The following is an 18,679-nucleotide window of genomic DNA, read 5'->3' as shown; positions in this document are numbered from 1 at the left end:
CGCCCGGCCCCAACTCTCTTTGGATTCAGAATCTGAGATGTACAGACCCTTGCAATCAGCCCACGTGTATGGAGTACACAGATAGGGCCATGAACCCGGTGGCTGGAGCATCTTCCCGGATTCAGTCAGAGGCAACTCAAAAACTTAGGTTTCCTGCCTCCTGGCCCAGGGCTCGTTCTGTTGCTTCCGGGTCCAAGTCTCCAGTATGAAGTGACAAAAGGACATGGGCGTCCCTAGACCCAGCTTAGGGCTCTAGCCACCAGGGCCAGAGAGGGCCAGCAGCCTCTTCCCCCAAACCCCTCAGGCCTTACCCCAAGTAGGCAAAAGAGAAGGTTTCCAACTTACCAATTGGATAGGACCCCCTGGAGGACCCTGCAAAAGAAGACTGCGGGTCAGTCAAATGACAGGGACAGTGTGCTGGAATCTGAGAGGGTGTCAGGAGACCAGGGAGACCATCAAAGCATGCAGGACCTGCCAAGCTGGCCTCTGCTTTCCCGGAGGCTTGGTGGGCCCCAGTGGGCTGGTCTATGCTTTTCTGGAGGCCTGGCCCCTAGGTGTTACCCCACGTAGGCAAAAGTGAATGTTCGGGGGATGCCCTATACTCTCCTAGGAGTCTGTGGGCTACAAGAACCCCTGTGGGGTTCAGGGTCAAGGCTTAGTCTGCCGGTGAAGCCTTGAATCTCCTTCAAAGGAACCCCCCAGGAGTCCAAGATGCACCCAGCACTCAGTTACCTACCGGGGGGCCGGGCCGCCCTCTGGGGCCGGGAGGACCCTGGGGGAACAAGAGAAGAAGAGTGAGCCCTGGTCCACAGGGTCTTCATCTCTCCCCAACCCAGTCCCTCCTCAAGCAGACCTGGGACCCAGGGACAATGGTTCCTCTGGCACAGACGGGATGACGGAGGTCCGGAGGGAGAGAATGTACCACCGGGAGGAGAATGCAGGGTGCCCGCCCCACGCCCCGCCCCACAGCCCTCATGCCCAGCCCACTCACCCTCGGACCTTGCAATCCCTGGAGGGAGACAGAAGCAGGGGAGAGAGTTAGGGAACCTGGCTGAGCCATGGCCCAACTCTGGGAGCCCACCCCTCCCCCGCCCCTGCAGTGCTGCATCCCTCAGCCCCAGCCCATCCACTTACCCAGTCCCCACGGCTGCCTTTGTCACCCTTCGGACCCTGCAACAAACCACGGCCCAGTGAGACAGGGCCCAGAGGTGAAGCCCCATTTCCAGATGAGGAAACTGAGGCTCAGACTGGCACTGAGTCACAGAGACAATCTGGAGCCAGGAAGGCAAGGGGACCCCGGAGTCTTCCTGTCCAATCCCCACACATACCGGGAGTCCCGAAGGTCCCAGGATTCCGAGGGGCCCGACGATGCCTTCCTTTCCCTAAAGGAGACAGAAAGGCTCATGTGTCCTTGTTCCAGGGCCTGGGGAACAGACACGGGGAGCGGGGTGGAGGGCAGCCCGAGCGTCGCAAGGGAGTAGAAGGGAGACCATCTGAAGCGGGCCCAGGCCATGCATCTCCTGAGCCCCTCATTTGTGCCTAGGGGTGGACTTCAAGAGTGGGGCGATGGGGGCAAGAGTGAAAGCGGGGAAGGATGGGGGCTGAGCTGGTGGGAACGGCAGGAGTGAAGGTGGGAACCAGGCCTGTGGGCAGAAAGGGCTCATGAGTCAAGGAGCAAGAGGAGGATGAAGACAGGCCAGCTGATGGCTGGCCAACCTTGGGCCTAGGACAATCATCTCTGCTCCGACAGCAGGGAGGGAACTCACCATCAAGCCAGGTGGCCCCCGAGGGCCCTGGATGCCTTTGAAGCCAATGTCTCCAGGCGGGCCCTGTGGGAGGCAGAGAAAGGGCTGTCTGTACTTGGCAGCCACTGGGTAAAGGGCCCCCACAGCTCCCTCACCCCTGGGGTCTGTCAACCTTTGCCCTTCTTGTCAAGAGAGGCCTTACCTGAGAGGCCCCAGAAGGAGTAAGAAACACCTACAATTATTCAGCAGGTACCAGCAGTGTGTTGGCTCAGTGCTGTGTGGCATATGCCCCTGGTCTTTATTTTTGCAACAGTCTTCTACTGTCATTGCTCCCATTTTACAGATGAGGAAACCAAGGCTTAGAGAGACTAAGTGACTTTGCAAGGCACAGAGCAGGTAATTGTGTAGCTGGGCTTGGAACCTAGATCTTCTGGAGTACTGGGGGATGAGGGTGTTCATGCCTGATTCTGGCTGTTTTCCAGCCAATGTTTTCAGTGCTCCATAAATATTTGTTGAATGAATAAATGAATGAATGGGGTGAATGGATGGGACCCCACAGGAACAGTGAGCCGTGGGAGTCCATACCTTGGGTCCGAAGAGACCTGCCATTCCTGGGAAGCCCATCTCGCCAGAGTCGCCCTGCAGGAAGAACAGGAAGTGATGGAGCGAGTGAGCTCATGGTCAGCGTGTCCCGCCAGCCACCTGGGACCTCAGGGCCTGCCTTTTCCCTCCCAGCCTTTCCAGGGATATCAGTGACTCCTCTGTGAAGCGACCAAGTGAGTGTGAACAGCTCACAAACTAGATGCCAGTCCGCCTGGGCTCTGAGGGGAGCCTGTGCTCTCCGTCAGATGAGAAAGAGGAGCCCGGCTCAGGGATTCCACAGAGGAGGCTCTGCCACACTCAGGAGCTCCTGTCCCAGGTCTTCAAGGGACAGAATAAAAGGGCCTGCAGCCTCCTCCCACAGCTCTGAAAAGCTCTGTTAAGGAAGGATTCCCCTAAAAACTAAAAATAACCCAGTTCACTGAGGGCCTGTTAGGTGCCGGATGTTTTGCCTGGACCGCCACACTTCCATGCTCCCACATCAACCCAGGGACACACCATATCCCCTGTTTACAGATGAGGAAACAGGCTCAGAGAGGGCAGGAACTTGCTAAAAGTCACGCAGACACCATGTTGTGGACTGTGCTAGATTCAAACCCAGTGTGAACGATTCCAGGAACCTTTGGCCTCCTTTCCTGACCTCTGCTCCCAATCTTGTAAAGGGTTAGGAGAGCAATTGGCAAGGGGGCATGCTGGGGTCTGAGCCAAGAAGGGAGGGCTGGGGGCCCCTGGAGGCAGAAGAGCCTGCCATTATTACACATTCTTGGGGCTTGGCCTTCAAGCTCATAAGCAGAAAGCCATGTATTAGAATCTCCTAGCCTTATATTATAAGACCAGGAGCAAGTCACCTCCCTTTACTGAGCCTCAGTTTCCTCATCTGTAAAATAGGATAATACGTCATCTCCCTCCCAAGGGGCTGGAAGGATGCAATGAGACCAGGCAGGTCAAGACCCAGTGCTGATGGAGGTAGGCTGAGGGGTCAGGCTTCGGGAGGGTCCCATTTAATCTAAATTCTACCTGTTCATTTTTAAAAGATAATAGCTTTATTGAGCTATTGGTGGTTCTCTTGGTGGTTTTCATTTGTCTTATCAATGCTTATTGGATATTTGTGTATCTCCTTTGGAAAAAATGTCTACTTGAATACTTTGTCCGTTTTAAATTTGGATTGTCTTTTTATTCTTGAGTTGTAAGGGTTCTTTATATATTAGAGATACATGTTCCTTATCAGAGATATGATTCGTAAATACTTTCTCCCCTACTGTGAGTTTTTTCACTTTCTTGATGGTGCCTTTGGAAGCACAAAAGTGTTTGATTTTGATGAAGTCCAATCTATGTACTTCGCTTTTGTTGGTGTCATATCTAAGAAACTATTACCTAACACAAGGTTATAAAAATGTGTTTTTATGTTTTCTAACAGTTGTACAGTTTTAGCCTTTACATTGGTCTATACTTCATTTTTAGCTAATTTTTGCATGTGGTGTGAAGCAGAGGTCCAAATTACTTCTCTGGTACGTGATATGTGATTGTGTGATTGTCTCAGCACTGTTTATTGAAAAAAAATTCTTTTCCCATTCAATTGCCCTAGCACTCTTGCTAAAAACAACAGACATAAATGTAAGGTTTTATTTCTGTCTTGATTACTATACTTTTGTAATAAGTTTTGAAATTGGGAAGTGTGAGTTGTCCAACTTTGATCTTCTTTAAAGATCAAAATTTTGGCTATTCTGGGCCACTTGCATTTCCATATGAATTTTAGGATCAATTTGTCAGATTTCGTTAAAAAGTCAGCTTGGATTTTGATAGGGATTATATTTAATCTGTAGCTCTGTTTGTGGTAAGTATAGCCATCTTAACCACACAAAGTCTTCTGACCTATGAATATGAGATGTCTTTCCATTTATTTAGGTTTTCTTTTATTTCATCAACATTTTGAAATTTTCACTGAACATATCTTGTACTTTTTTTTTTTTTTTTAAGATGGGGTCTTGAGATGTTGCCCAGGCTGGACTTGAACTCCTGGGCTCAAGAGATTCTCCCATTTCAGCCTCCTGAGTAGCTAGGACTATAGGCACATGCCACCATGCCCAGCTTCTTGCACTTCTTTTGTTAGATTTCTTCCTATTTTATTCTCTTTGATGCTATTATAAATGGAAATGTCTTATTAATTTCATTTTTGAATTGTTCATTGCTAGTGTATAGACATATAATTGATGTTTGTATGTTATATATAGAAATGACATTTTTTGTATATTGATCTTATATCCTGCAACTTTGGTTTATTAGTTCTACTAATTTTGTTCAGTATAATATTGAATAGAAGTGGTAACAGTGGACATCCTTGGCTTGCTCCTGATCTTGGGGGAAGTGTTCAGTCCTCTACCATTAAATATGATGATACCTGTGGGATTTTCACAGATATTCTCTATCAGGTTGAGGATGTTCCCTTCTGTTCCTAGTTTGTTGTGTTTTCATCACGAAAGGGTGTTGGATTTCGTCAAATGCTTTTTCTGCATCTATTGAGATGACTCTATAATGTTTGTCCTTTATTTTATTAATATGGTGTATTACATTGATTGATTTCCAACAGTTGAACCAGCTTTGCATTTCTAGGATAAATCTCACTTTGTCATGGTGTAGACTCCTTTAGGCATATTGCTGAATTTGGTTTTCTAATATTTTATTAAAGATTTTTGTATCTGTATTCATAAGGCATATTTGTCTGTTGATTTCTTTCTTGTGACATCTTTTTCTGGTTGGGGTATCAGGATAATACTGGCTTCACAGAACCAGTTGCGTGATGTCCTAACTGTTCATTTTTGCACTCTGATGGCTGTCTCCTATACACCCATCAGGTGCAAAGAAGGGGTAATTTTAAAAACAGTCTTACTAAAGTAAAACTGAAGATAATAACTATACTATTTAAATTGTATAATCTGATTTGTTTTGACATATCTGTCTGTATTCACCCTTGTAATTGTCACAACAACCAAGACAATAACATCCCATAGCCCCAGAAACTTTCCTCACACCCTTTTGTAATCTTTCTTTCCTGCCTACCCTCCCATCTCCAGGAGCCATTGATCTATCTTCTTTCAATGCAGATTAGTTTGCATTTTCTATAATTTTATATAAATGAAATCACACAGTCTATACTATTTTTTATCTGAGTTCTTTCACTCAGCCTAATTATTTTGAGAATCATCTTATGTTGTTGCATATATTAATAGTTCAATCCATTTACTGATGAATTGTATTTCATTGCAAAATATACCACACTTTATCTATTCACCGGCTGATACACATTTGAGGTTTTTTTCAATTTGGGGCTATTATAAATAAAGCTGCTAAGCACCTTCAAGTATAGTCTTCATGTGGCTGAATGTCCTTATTTATGTAGGGTAAATATCTATGAGTGGAATGATTTGATTATACAATAGGGATATGCTTAACTTTCAAAGAAGCTGCCCAACTGATTCCATAGTGATTGTACCACTTTAAATTCCCATTATCAGCATTTGAAAGTTTCAGTTTCCCCATGTCTTTGCCAACACTTGGTATGGTTAGTCTTTTAAAACTCTTCACTATTTTAATAGGTATGCCATAGCATCTTATTGTGGTTTGAATGAGCATTTGTCTAATGACTAATGATATTAATCTTTTTCTCATGTGCTTATTTGCTATCAGTATACTTTCTTTGAAGTGTCTATTCAAATCTTCTGCCCATTTAAAAAAATTGGGCTGCTTATTTTTATTATTGAGTTTTGCGAGTTCTTTTTAGGTTCCGGATACAAATCCTTAATCAGATACATGATTTAGAAATATTTTCTTCCAGTATGTGGCTTGTCTTTTCATTCTCTTAATAGTGTCCTTTGAAGAGCAAAAGTTTTAAATGTTGATGAAGTCTGATTTATCACATTTTCTTTTCTGGGTCATGCTTTTGGTACCATATCTAAGAAATCTTTGTCTTATCCAAGTTCTTGAAGATGTCCTTCTATGTTCTAGAAGTGTTTTAATTTTCAGTTTTACATTTAGGTGTATGATCCAGGTTGAGCTAATTTTTGTACATGTTATGAGGCATCACTTGTCTGGCACCATTTGTTAGGAAAGACTATTTTGTATTTGCTGAATCGTCTTTGCACTTTTGTTAAAAATCAGTTGTCCAGGCCGGGTGTGGTGGCTGATGCCTGTAATCCCAGCACTTTGGGAGGCCGAGGTGGTGGATCACCTGAGGTTGGGAATTCAAGACCAGCCTGACCAACATAGAGAAACCCCATCTCTACTAAAAATACAAAATTAGCCGGGCATCGTGGTGCATCCCAGCTACTGGGGAGGCTGAAGCAGGAGAATCACTTGAATCCTGGAGGCGGAGGTTGCGGTGAGCTGAGATTGCACCATTGCACTCCAGCCTGGGCAACAAGAGTGAAACTCCATCTCAAAAAAAACAAAAAAACAAAAAAAAACCAGTTGTCCGTATATGTATGGTATATGTCTGGACCTTTCATTCTGTTCCTTTGATCTGTTAGTTATTTACGGCAATACCACAGTTTCGTGATGACTGCAGATTTGTAATAAGTCTTGAAATCAAGTGCCATTAGTCTGCCAACTTTGCTCTTCTCTTTCAATGTTGTTTTAGTTATTCTAAGTCCTTTATATTTCATATGTATATTAGGACCAACTTGTCATTTTCTACATGAAAACCCGATAAGCTTTACATTGGAATTGTGTTGAATCAATACACCAATTTGAAGAAATTTGACATCTTAATATTGAGTCTTTTGAAATATGCACACAGTATATATCTCCATTTATTTAAGTCTTCCTCAATTTCTCTTACCAGTGTTCTATAGTTCTCAGTGTACATATGTTGCACACTTAATGTCAGATGTATCTCTAAGTATTTCATGTTTTTATGCTATTATAAGTAGTATTGCTTTTTAGATTTCCATTTCTAATTGTTTGTTGCTAGTGTATAGAAATGCAATTCATTTGTGCACATTGATTAGTGTATAGAAATGCAATTCATTTGTGCTCATTGATTAGTGTATAGAAATGCAATTCATTTATGCATATTGCCTAGTATATACAATCACAATTCATTTGTGCATATTGATATGGTGTCTTGTGACCTTGTTAAACTCACTTATTCTAGTAGCTTTCTTGTGGATGCCAATGGATCTTCTACATAGACATTATTTCCTCTACAAATGAAAAGTTTTAATTCTTCCTTTTTGATATGAATACCTCCTATTTGTTTTTCTTGCCTTATTGCACTGGCTAGAATTGCCAGTACAATGTTGAATAGAAGTGGTGAGAACAGATATCCTTGACTTGTTTCTGCTCTGCTCCTTGGAAAAAAGCATTCAGTCAATCACTACTAAGTATGATGTTGACTAGGTTTTTCATGGATGTCCTTTATCAAGTTGAGGAACTTCTATACCTAGTTTGTTGAGAGTTTATCAGAAGTGGAGTTAGATTTTTCTCAAATGCTTTTCCTGCAACTACTGAGATGATCAAATGGGTTTTCTTTTTTGAGTCTGTTAATATAGTGAATTATACTGATTTATTTTCAAATGTTATACCATCCTTGTGTTCCTAAGATAAACTCCACTTGGTCTTGATGTATTATCCTTATTATATATTCTTAGGTTCCTCTAACTAAAATTTTATTGAGAACTGTGGTAGCTATATTTATGAAGCATATTGGTGTATTGTTTCCTTTTCTTGTAATATCTTGGTGTGGCTTTGACATCAGGGTAGAATCAGCCTCAAGGAAAGAGTTGGGAATTATTCTTCTCCTCTTCAATGTTCTGGAAAAGTTATGTAGAATTGGTATTCCTTCTTTTTTTTTTTTTTTTTTTTTTGAGACAGAGTCTCTCCCTGTCGCCCAGGCTGGAGTGCAATGGCACGATCTTGGCTCACTGCAACCTCCGCCTCCCAGGTTCAAGCGATTCTCCTGCCTCAGCCTCCTGAGTAGCTGGGATTACAGGTGTGCGCCACCACGCCTGGCTAATTTTTTTTTTTTTTTTGTATTGTTAGTAGAGATGGGGTTTCACCATTTTGGCCAGGCTGGTCTCAAACTCTTGACCTCGTGATCCACCCACCTCGGCCTCCCAAAGTGTTGGGATTACAGGCGTAAGCCACCGCGCCCAGCCGTTATTATTTCTTTTGTAAATGTTTAGTAGCATTTACCAGTGAAGCCATCTGGGCCCAGAGTTTCCTTTGTGGGAAGCTCTAACTACAGATTCAATTTCTTTAATAGATATAAGGCTATTTAGGTTATCAGTCTCTTCTTGATGACCTTTGGTAGTTTTGTCTTTCAAGGAATTTGTCCATTTCATCTAAGTCTTTAAATTTATTGTCATAAAATCATTTATAATATTCCCTTATTAGCCTTTTAATTTCTGTCATATCTGTAGTGACATTGCTCCCCTATCCCTGATACTAGTAACTTCTGTATCCTTTTTGTTGTTTTTGTTGTTTCCTGATTAGTCTGGCAAGAGGTTTATCAGTTTTACAGATCTCAAAAAGCTAACTTTTGATTTTCCTTTTTTTTTTTTTGGTTTATTTTTGATTTTCATTATTTCCTTCCCTCTGCTCACTTTGTTTTAAATTTGCCTTCTCCAGCCCCAACCCCCAGTTTCTTAAGACGGAATCCGAGACCATTTATTTGAGACCTGTCTTCTTTTCTAACACAGAAGTTATTACTATAAAGATCTCCCTATATATCAACAGCATTTCACCAATTTTTATATGCTGTTTTTTACTTTCATTCAATTCAAAATACTAACATCTCTTTTGGTCTCTTCTTTGACCCATGGGTCATTTAGACATTTGTTACTTAGTTTCCAGATGTTTGGAGATCTTTCAGATCTCTCTGTTATTGATTTATAATTTAATTTATTGATTGATTTTAAGGCTCAAAATAGTGTCTGTCTTGGTAAATGTTCTGAATGAACTTATAACGAATGTGTATCTTGCTGATATTGGATGTGGTGTTCTATAAATGTCAATTAGGTCATGTTGGTTGATAATGCAGTTCAAGACATCCTTACTGATCTTCTGTTTGCTTCTGTTCTACCCATTAGGAGAGAAATATATTGAAATCCTTGAGTATAATTGTGAATTTGTCTATTTCTCCTTGTAGCTTTATCAGTCTTTGCCTGATTATTTTGAAGATCTATTTTTAGGTGCATAAACATTTATGATTCTTATGCTATTTTGAAAAGTTGGCTTCTTTGTCATTATGAAAATACCTTCTTTATGACTGTTAGTAGTCTTTGCTCTGAAATTCATTTCATCTGATATTAAAATAGCTACTCCAGCTGTTTGGGATGAATGTTAGCACAGTATGTCTTTTTCTATATCTATCTTTAACCTACTTATATCTTTATATTTGAAGTGGATTTCTTGTAGCAGCAGATGTAGTTGGGTCTTGCTTTTTCATCCACTCTGACAATCTCAGCTTTAATTGGGGTATTGAAACTGTTTGTTGTGTGTTTTCTATTTGCCCTGTTTATTCTCTGTTCATTCTTCCTTCTTTTTCCAGGCAAGGGTGAGTTGAATGCAGCCTCTGGGACAGGGGGATGAAGGCAGTGAGGCACAGAATGAGCACTGGACTGGGAGTCAGGAGCGCCCACCTTCTGGTTGTGATCACCCTCTCCTCATTCTGAAGGAACCACTCAGGTCTCTTTCCTCAGCCTCCCCCACCACCTGGTTGAGGGGTGGCAGAATGGTATCTGGTACCCAGATTTTATACCTTGTCACAGAGCAAGGAGGTGGCTTCTGGGTCAGTGTGTTTGTGTGTGTGTATGAGTGTGCATGTGTTTGTACATGTAGGTGTATGTGAGTGTGTGCATGTGTGAGTGCGTGGGCATGTGTATTCTTTGGCGCTCACTCACCGGCTGGCCTTTGGACCCAGGCTCCCCCTGGTTTCCAGGGAGCCCCGTTCTGCCCTCTGTTCCTCGCTTGCCAGGGGGACCCAGCTGTCCGGGTAACCCACTCTCACCCTTAAAGAAACACACAAAAAATTACCAGTCAAAGTGGGAAGGGGTTCTAAGGCAGGAGGAGGCGGAGGGGGCCTGGGAGAGCCAGAACAGTGATTCCACAGGGTACCCGAGATTGCAGAATGCTGGGGCAACAAATGGAGGCCTGGTGGGGTAGGGGTGACAAGACTTTCACCTCCCAAAGAGGAAGGTCTCTGTCTCTCCTCTCGCATTCCGGGCCCTGCCTTCCCCTCTCCTCTCCCACAATTCCTCTCCTCCTTATTGCTTTTCCCCAACAGCATGCAGTTCCCTCCTTCAAACCTCAGCTCACACTCGTAGAATGCCTCCTCCCCATTTATTTATTTATTTTTATTTTTTTAGACAGAGTCTCGCTCTGCCGCCCAGGCTGGAGTGCAGTGGTGCGATCTCAACTCACTGCAACCTCTGCCTCCCCAATTCAAGCGATTCTCCTGCCTCGGCCTCCCGAGTGGCTGGGACTACAGGTGCCTGCCACCATGCCCAGCTAATTTTTGTATTTTTAGTAGAGACGGGGTTTCCCCATGTTGGCCGGGCTGGTCTCGAACTCCTGACCTCAAGTGATTCGCCAGCCTCAGCCTCCAAAATGCTGGGATTACAGGTGTGAGCCACTGTGTGGCCACCTTTTCCCCTTCTATTCTCATTCACATCTTCCCTGGGTCAAGGCCATCGCTCCCTCCGCCTCCTGTGTCTCAGAGGGTTCCAATCTTTCCCCCAATTAAACCTCGAGCTCAGAGAGGGCAAGAACCACATCTGAGTCATTCATCTACATCTCCCCTTCAGTGTCCAGCCCTTGGCTCTGACGGATTCATGGGGGCCCCCTCCTCCCACGCGGCACTGGGAAGCTTTCTAAGGATGCCTTGGGGATCCCGGCTGCAAGCAACGTGTTGTTCCACAAATGTCCACGAGAGGGCGCCCGTGGACAACTCAAAAACCAGTTGAAGGTTTCAAGGGCCTGGTAGGGGCGATATTTACAGCTCCCCAGATGAACTATCATTCTGGTTCAAGCTTGGGGCAGGACCCCCAAGCACTGCTGACGGAGAAAGGTCAACAATGTGGACTCCATTTTCACACAGGCCCTGGGACATGGGTGCCCAAAGGGTCGGAACCACTAGAGTCTGCATCAAGGCAGAAAGGGCAGAGGGTGGGTAAGTGTATTAAGAGGTATCTGACCTTGAATCCTGGGGGTCCCTGTGCTCCAGGTAAGCCGGCCACACCTGGATTTCCTCTCTTCCCAGCAGGGCCCATGGGGCCAGGGTCCCCATCGTCTCCCTGCTCCCCCTGTTAAGAAAGCAGGCAGAGGAGGGTCTCTTGTGTTTCACGATACAGCCAAGGAAGCAGATGGCTCAACGCCTGGGCAAACCCTGGGTGAAGCTGGAGGAAGGGGTCACACTCCAGGATGGAGGTCAGACGGCCTGTGTGTGATGTGGCTGGACCAGGAGGACAGGAGGAGCTGAGGATTGTGAGTGGGGAAGGGCGGGATTCTGAGTGAGGAAGGGGCGGGAGAGGAACCCTATCCACCAGGCAGGGGAGGAAAGGAAGGTCTTTCTGGGTGCTGGCATCCAGGAGAGACAGTCAGAAGGTCCACACTCCCAGGTGCCAGGGGAGGAGATGGTTGCCCACCCCAGAGAACTTCTGGATGTGTTGGTTCTGCCCATCCAAGTTTCCAAACGGGCTCCTCTGGCCCATGGCCTGGGGAAGTTCCCCTACACCTGGTCCCAAATGGAGCCACCATCTGTTAATGCCAATTCCCGCTCACCTGCTGTCCTGCTTGCCCGTCCCTGCCAGGAAGCCCATCTGGTCCAGCGATGCCCTCGAGGCCCTGTCTCCCCACCACGCCCCGGGGCCCTGGCAGCCCCTGCAGGCCCTGGGGGGTACATAAAAAGCTGGTGAGGGCATTTGGTGCAGGGAGTGGGAGGAGGGCGGGTGTGGGGGGCGGGCAGGGAGGTTGGCTGGAAACAGCAGCTGTAGTCACTCACCTGGACCCCCCTCCGGCCTGGGGCCCCTGCCTTGCCTTGCTTTCCCTTTGGTCCCTGAAAAATCAAGGGCCACATGATGGAGGCTGCCTGGTAGAGGTGTGGGACCCTAGGGGCTCTGGAAGGAGGGACTGAGAGGATTGTGGGCCCCTGGGTGAACATCTGATGCCACAGATGTACCCAAGCACTCTGGCCTGGAAGCCTGGGGCCAGAGCTGGCCTTGGAACCTCCTGGGGCTGTCACTGAGCCTGCTCTGGGCCTTGGTGTCCCCTCACTGGCATTGACAATTTTCTGGGAGGAGCCAGAGGCCACAGTTCCACTGGATCTTTTAGAGACTAGGTATCACCGAGGCAGGCAGGTGAGGGGGGCGCACCCGGGGGAGGGAAAGAGCATTAAGAGAGCACTGGCCCAGTCTGGGGGCTGGGGGAAGGCAGGGGCCCTGGGGCAGAGGCAGGAAGTGGCTCCTGCTCAAGCACCCTGTCTCTGCCTCCTCTTCCTCCAGACCCCCTCAATTGACTTCTCCCAGTTTTCTCTCTACAGTGTGGTGAGCCCTGGGTTCAAGTCACTCTGGTTGGCCTCAGGCAGTTGGCTCCCCTCCTGGAGCCCCAGTGAAATGGGGCTGATTGTCCCTCCTCACTCAGGCTATTTGAAGGGAGATGGGGTCATGGCCAGAAGCAGCCTGCCGGGCTCCTGGTGGGCCGCCCCTCCCTACCCTGCCTCGCAGCCTCTGCAGCCTGCGTTTGGTTTGCTGTGTGACTGTGGGTCAGGCTTCCCCCTTCCTGGGACTCAGTCTCCCTGCTGAACCCCCGGCCCTCTTACCTCTGCGCCTTTCGATCCTTTGGGTCCCGGCCACCCCCGGGGTCCCGGATGCCCCTGCAAACCAAGGTGAGATGACGCAAGGCAGCCCCAGGATTCTCTCCCGGGGAGGGTGGCCAGTCTCCGCCTGGAGGGGGAGGGGTGGGGAGGGGTTTGGGGGTGCAGGTTCTGGGGGCATCCCCAGGGTCAGGGCAGGAGAAACAGAAATGGCTGCCCCAGACCCTCCTGCAGGGAGGGTCCCTTTAAGCTTTAAAGGGCCTAGTTCTTTAATTCCCACTGCTCCGCCCCACTCAGGGTGGGAGGCAGGGATGGGACACGAAGCACCACTCACGGGTTGGCCCTGCTGGCCTGGCTTTCCACGGAGGCCTTGCACACCCTCCTGTCCCTGGAAGCCAAAGAGAGACAGGTGAGGGGGGCCCATCCTGCAGAGGGCTGGGAGGCAGCACAGAAGCCTGGGAAGTTCTTGTTCTTTCTAGACATGTGTCATCCCCCCTCTCCCTGACATGCCCGATCCTGCCAGCAGGTAGGAGCTCTGATACTTACAGGGTACCCAGGGTCTCCCGGTTCCCCGCGGTCTCCTCGATCACCCACAGGGCCCTGAATGACAAAGACAACAGCAAAATTTGGGCCACCAGGTGCCAAGGATGCCAGCCCTGGGCCCTGTTGGCCGCGACCTCTGCGGAGCTCTCAGGGACCTGGCCCCTGATCGGCCCACCCCTCTCCATGCAGCGGGAGGCTCAGATTCCACCTAGGACGCCACATGGTCCAGGGGAGGGAGGGGGCTTACCCGATCTCCAGGTGGCCCAGGGGGCCCCTCAGCCTTGCCGTCCTCGCCCTGCTCCCCCTGTGGACACAGAACCAGCTTTAGGGCAAACCGCCTGCTCCTGGGGAATGTGGGGAATTCCAGACGGAAAGCGCTTCGTCAGAGATGAATTCTAGCCTGCTTAGGGTTACAGATGGGGACACAAACTAGAGAGGGAAGGGTAGGTGTGTCTGAGCCAGACTCAGGCTGGTGTGGAACCAGGACTGTGGAACACAGAACAGTGCTTTGTGCCCTCCAGACGCCCTTGAGCTGTAGGATCCTGCAGGAAGTCAGGGAGCTCAGACAGCTGGATTCACATCCCGGCTTGCAAAGGACCAGCCGTGTGGCCTGCAACACTTCCCTTCCTGTCTCGGAGCTCTCTCCTCTGCTGGGGAATAGGAGAACAGAGCGGAGTGGGGTGGGGTGAAGGGGACAGCATGTGATGCCCATCAAGGAGTGGTGAGGACTCCGTGGAATGATGCGCGACGCCCGGCAGGGAGTAACACCAACTCCAGCAGCTGGCACGCATGGGCACTGCTCTGGGCCAGTCACAGGCAGACTCATGACATCCGCAGTGCAGTGCTGTGAAGCAGATGCGATTATTATCCCAATTCACAGATGAGGCTCGGAGAGATGATGGGACCTGCTCAGAGTTTTCACCCTCAACCCGAGAGTCCCTGTCTCCGATCCTTGCTGGGAGGAACCAGCTTTAGGATGAACCTCCTACCCTCCATGGTAGCCCCAGGTGGCACTTGGCAGCCAGTCAGCATGGGGGCTGTGTCCATAAGACAGGTTCCTATGTGCAGAGCGGGACTGGAGCGCCTCCCGGTGCTGTTCAGGGGACTCGGTGAGGAAAGGCACAGGAAGCACTCAGCAGGCTGCTGCACACGTGGCAGGGGCTCAGCAGATGGCGTTAAAATTGCCGTAGCCGGTAACAATAGCAGCAGTGAGACTGTGTCATATAGACATGGCCAGAGACTGGGGTGGGGGGGGCGGAACAGAGTTTAGAGGTGAGGTCCTTATGCCATGGCCACCCCAGGCCCTGGTCCACCCACAGGACAGGTGTAGACGCCACCTTTCAACTACAAGGAAGGTGTAAGCGGAACGGCAAATGGCAGAATCTCAGGGCTCAGAAGACTCCAGCCCCAGAAACTGGTGTCACTCCCCTGGGCACAGGGCTCAAGCCAGGCACCCCTGAGCCCCTTTGTTCATAGGGATTGAAAGGGGGCCGGAAGAGGCTGGACAGAGGCAAAGCGTCCCTGGGGCTGGGACACATCCCTGGTGGGAGGCAGTTCTAAAGGCTGGTGGTGATCAGCCACCAGCCTGGGCCTCTGTGGTTCTGGTGGGTGGAGGCTGAAGGCTGGCAGGGACTTGGCCTGAGGTCTAGAGGGGTGGCCCAAGGAGCGGGGATTCCTTCTTGACCCTGCCCACTCTCTATGGTTCTTGGATCCAGTGCTCAAGTCCCACTGTGGATAGAGGCAGCTGGACTTGACGGCTTTGGGGAAGGGGCCTGCCTGTGTCTACCTAGCGTGTTCCATGTGCCAGGCACTCTGTGAGGTTTGTTTCATCCGATCTGCACAGTAACTATGCCGCTGGGACTACTGTCCACACTTAAAGATGGGAAACTGAGAGGAAGGAAGGTCTTAGCCAAGGCCACTCAGGAATCAGGGGGCAATCTCGGCCCAAAGCCAGCTATACTGATCCCCCGCAATGTGACTGTAGTCTGGGGATGCATTTTTTTTTAATTCTATTATTATTATACTTTAAGTTTTAGGGTACATGTGCACAACGTGCAGGTTTGTTACATATGTATACATGTGCCATGTTGCTGTGCTGCACCCATTAACTCGTCATTTAGCATTAGGTATATCATTTTTTAGCACCAGAAATCTGGTAGGATACTTCCCTGCCCTGTCCAAGTCCCAGAGTCTCATCCCCTCTCTCTGGCCACCAGCTTTGTAGTGAGCTCACCCCCACGGTGAGCAGGGATGGGCGGTTCAAGTTAAATTGCATATGGCTTCCTTATCTTGGGTCTGCTTTTGGTTAGGGAAGCAGGGTCTGGCATCGGACAGATGGGGTCTAAATCCTGGCCCTGCCACCCTCTTACTACAGATCCTGGGCTAGTCTCTGAGCCTTATGGGGACTCAGTTTCCCCGCCTGTCTTGTAGAACAATGGTACCTCTGCACTGGGGCTGTGGTGAAGATTACAGGAGGAATGGCAGGGAAAGAACTCTGCACGTGGGCGTGTGCTCAATGGGTCACCCCAGGAAGCTGCTCTCTCCTCCCTAGCACCGTCCAGCTTGCGGGGTGGCTGTTCATTCATGGGACTCGCCCTATTTTTGAGACCTCTAAGGGCATCATTTCCATCCTCTAGCTCAGGGCCTGGAACACACTAAATCCTCCATAAGTACCTGTTGGAGAGCTGGAGGAATGAACGAATCTAATAATGCCTTCTAAGTGAGAAAAGGCATCTGGCTGATGAACATGTTCTGCCCCCACCTTGACCTCTCATTCCCAAGGACCCCACCACTTGATGAGGCACTCAAGGCTCAGGGAATCCTGGGGACCCCCACAAGGCCCCTGCAGCCTTAGGGCAGATTTGGTGTTAGGGTCCCATTCTCAGCAGCCACAGAGACTGCTTCTAGAGCTGCAGATGCTCCGGCGCAGAGGCCTTGGGGCACACCAGGGCCTCCTTGTTTCAGAGTCTGTGTTAACCCCTTCTGTGCCAGCCCTGGCAGGCTGCGAGGGCCCAGGAGGGACCCGGGGTACTGAGTGGCACCTTCTGTGGCTTCCTGTGGAATCGGCTGGGGCGGGTGGCCGTCTACCATGGCTGAGCTGTCCTCCTCCAGCAGGAGGAAGGGGTCGGCTGGGCAGCACGCCGGGCCAGCGTGAGTCACCAACAGCAGGATTTAGTTAGTGGGGAGCTGACTCAGCAAAAGAAAGGCGTGCTGGGGAGGCAGGGGGCAAGCGAAGCGTTCCAGCTGAGCCAGCAGGGGAGGGGAGGAGGAGGAAAGACAGGAGGGACTCAGGCGACGAAGGTAGGACTTAGACACGTGGGTTCTGGGGCCAGTTTGGGATTGCCTTGGACGTGACACCACACCAACACCTTGGACCTTCTGGCACTCCTGGCCCTCCACATCCCCACTGGCATGGGGGGGCAGGGTCCAGGGATCAGCGAGGATCCTTCCAGCAATTCCTCTCCTCTACTGAATCTTGAGCCAAGGCGTGGGGAATGAACATGCCTTCCCCTCTGCCTTGGTGGCTCCTTCCTTGACCACTAACCACTGGGGTTCCTTGCTCTCTGTCCCAAGCCTCTCCTGCTCAGCATCCTCTCCCCACTCTTCACTGGGTGATCTTATTCATGGGCAAGACTTCAATTCCCATGTCCACACAGATGATGGAGTCGCAGTTTTAGTCATTACAAGATTGATGTCCATTTCTGCTTCTTGACTATAAGCCCCGTGAGGGCAGGGATTGCATGTTTTCGTTCCAGCGCTGGGTACAAAGATGATACCCAGCACATAGTGCTGAATGTGGATCTGACAGCTCCTGCGGGCTGGGCACAGTGGCAGTGACACCAGCCTCGGCTGCTGCAGGGGGTGAGCCCCCACAGGCTTCTCCAGCCATGGGTACCCCAGGGGCTTTCTCCTGCTGGCCCTGAAGCTGACCTCAGCCTCAGACACGAGGGTGCAGCTGCTTTCCCCAGAGCAAACACCCACCTTTTCGCCTTTTGGTCCAGGAGGTCCAAGGGGTCCCACAATGCCTTTGTGTCCCTGCAGGCAAACAAGAAGGAGGGAAGTGAGAATGAGGACTCAGGAAGGACAAAGGACATGGACTCCAAGATGGGGATACTGGGCTGCAAAACTGGGTCCCAGCTCTGCCCCAGCTGGCTGTGTGGCTCTGAGTAAGTCTGTGCCTGTCTGGGCCCTGGCCTTCCAGATGTGCCGTGCTGGTCCCAGACACACCCCAAAGGGGTGTTCCAGCTGGGATGGTTGGGGGCCCCACCCTGGAGCAGACCTGGAAGGGTGACTCGGGAGAACCAGCTTTGTTCTCCCAGCCAGAACCAGGGACAGGGGCAAAATGCTTGCCTCAACAGACCTTCCCAGGCTTTGGCTAGGCCTGCAGGTATGGACACCCACTGTGGGCTCCTCGCAACACCCCTCCAGGTCTTGTCTCGCCTCTTTTCCTCTCCTCCTCCTCCCTTCCCTGCTGCATTTCTTCCAGACACTGGATCTAGAGCCACAAGGACCAGGGCTAGGATCCCACCTCCAAACTGAAGTGGTCAGGCCTCGTGCATGCTCTTTATCCTCCTGAGCCCTGGTTTCCCCTTCTGAGTAGGCACCATATCTCTCTGAGCCCTGGTTTCTCCAGATGTGTAACATGGGTTTGGCTCAGCCATGTCTAAGAAGGTGCCAACCTGGATGCAGAAATGGTCCCTTCCCCAGACAGCAGACAAGGCATGCAGAGCGCCCACCCTGGGCAGGAAATACCCAAGAAGGCTTGGGGTGGCACATTTCGCTCTGGCAGCCCCAACCACACCTGTCCCATCCATGATCCTCCACCCCAACCACGGCTCTGGGCCCAGCGCTCCCTGGGGCAGGTGAGACCCCACATCTTCAGTATTCCAGGGGTCAGCCTTCAGCTGGGAGGTGGTGGGGCAGAGGCTGGCATGGGCCTGTGTTTCCAGGCCTGCAGGACAGAGTCGGGGGGTGGGGTGAGGTG

The 18,679-nt window shown here is 49.6% G+C and overlaps 1 protein-coding gene and 1 long non-coding RNA gene across 13 annotated transcripts in view, besides 3 other annotated features; one reads left to right on the top strand and one right to left on the bottom strand.

Moving 5' to 3' along the window:
* The window catches only part of COL27A1 (collagen type XXVII alpha 1 chain), a 158,414-nt gene that overhangs the window by 10,058 nt on the left and 129,677 nt on the right, over positions 1–18,679 (bottom strand). For 7 of the 12 annotated variants that reach the window (XM_011519138.3, XM_047423992.1, NM_032888.4 and 4 more), the window contains 16 exons: positions 17,677–17,730; positions 13,943–13,999; positions 13,699–13,752; positions 13,487–13,540; positions 13,159–13,212; positions 12,343–12,396; positions 12,123–12,230; positions 11,537–11,644; positions 10,244–10,351; positions 2,331–2,384; positions 1,767–1,829; positions 1,329–1,382; positions 1,135–1,170; positions 992–1,009; positions 737–772; positions 346–372 (listed from right to left, as the gene is read on the bottom strand). In XM_011519138.3, coding sequence (XP_011517440.1) covers positions 346–372; positions 737–772; positions 992–1,009; positions 1,135–1,170; positions 1,329–1,382; positions 1,767–1,829; positions 2,331–2,384; positions 10,244–10,351; positions 11,537–11,644; positions 12,123–12,230; positions 12,343–12,396; positions 13,159–13,212; positions 13,487–13,540; positions 13,699–13,752; positions 13,943–13,999; positions 17,677–17,730 — 939 coding nt within the window. The other 5 variants (XR_929860.4, XM_047423993.1, XM_011519143.3 and 2 more) reach the window with 5 other exon arrangements.
* LOC124902252 (uncharacterized) lies at positions 11,641–18,489 on the top strand. The gene is made up of 3 exons (XR_007061741.1): positions 11,641–11,825; positions 17,737–17,861; positions 18,403–18,489. It is a non-coding gene; the product is annotated as an uncharacterized LOC124902252 (long non-coding RNA).
* Positions 13,048–14,247: an enhancer, noted in NCBI's record as "MED14-independent group 3 enhancer chr9:117050487-117051686 (GRCh37/hg19 assembly coordinates)". NCBI's record gives its function as "activates an origin of replication core promoter dependent on BRD2, BRD4, P300/CBP and CDK7 cofactors, and independent of MED14, by STARR-seq in HCT116 cells {active_cell/tissue: HCT116}" and the evidence as "EXISTENCE:reporter gene assay evidence [ECO:0000049][PMID:35650434]".
* Positions 13,048–14,741: a biological region, named in NCBI's record as "MED14-independent group 3 enhancer GRCh37_chr9:117050487-117051686".
* Positions 14,115–14,741: an enhancer, noted in NCBI's record as "H3K27ac-H3K4me1 hESC enhancer chr9:117049993-117050619 (GRCh37/hg19 assembly coordinates)". NCBI's record gives its function as "activates a minimal SCP1, AML or CMV promoter by ChIP-STARR-seq in naive H9 embryonic stem cells {active_cell/tissue: H9 hESC(naive)}" and the evidence as "EXISTENCE:reporter gene assay evidence [ECO:0000049][PMID:30033119]".

Source organism: Homo sapiens, chromosome 9 (genome assembly GCF_000001405.40).
Source record: "Homo sapiens chromosome 9, GRCh38.p14 Primary Assembly".
Taxonomy (NCBI): Eukaryota; Metazoa; Chordata; class Mammalia; order Primates; family Hominidae; genus Homo; species Homo sapiens.
This window is presented reverse-complemented; position numbering and strand designations above follow the sequence as displayed.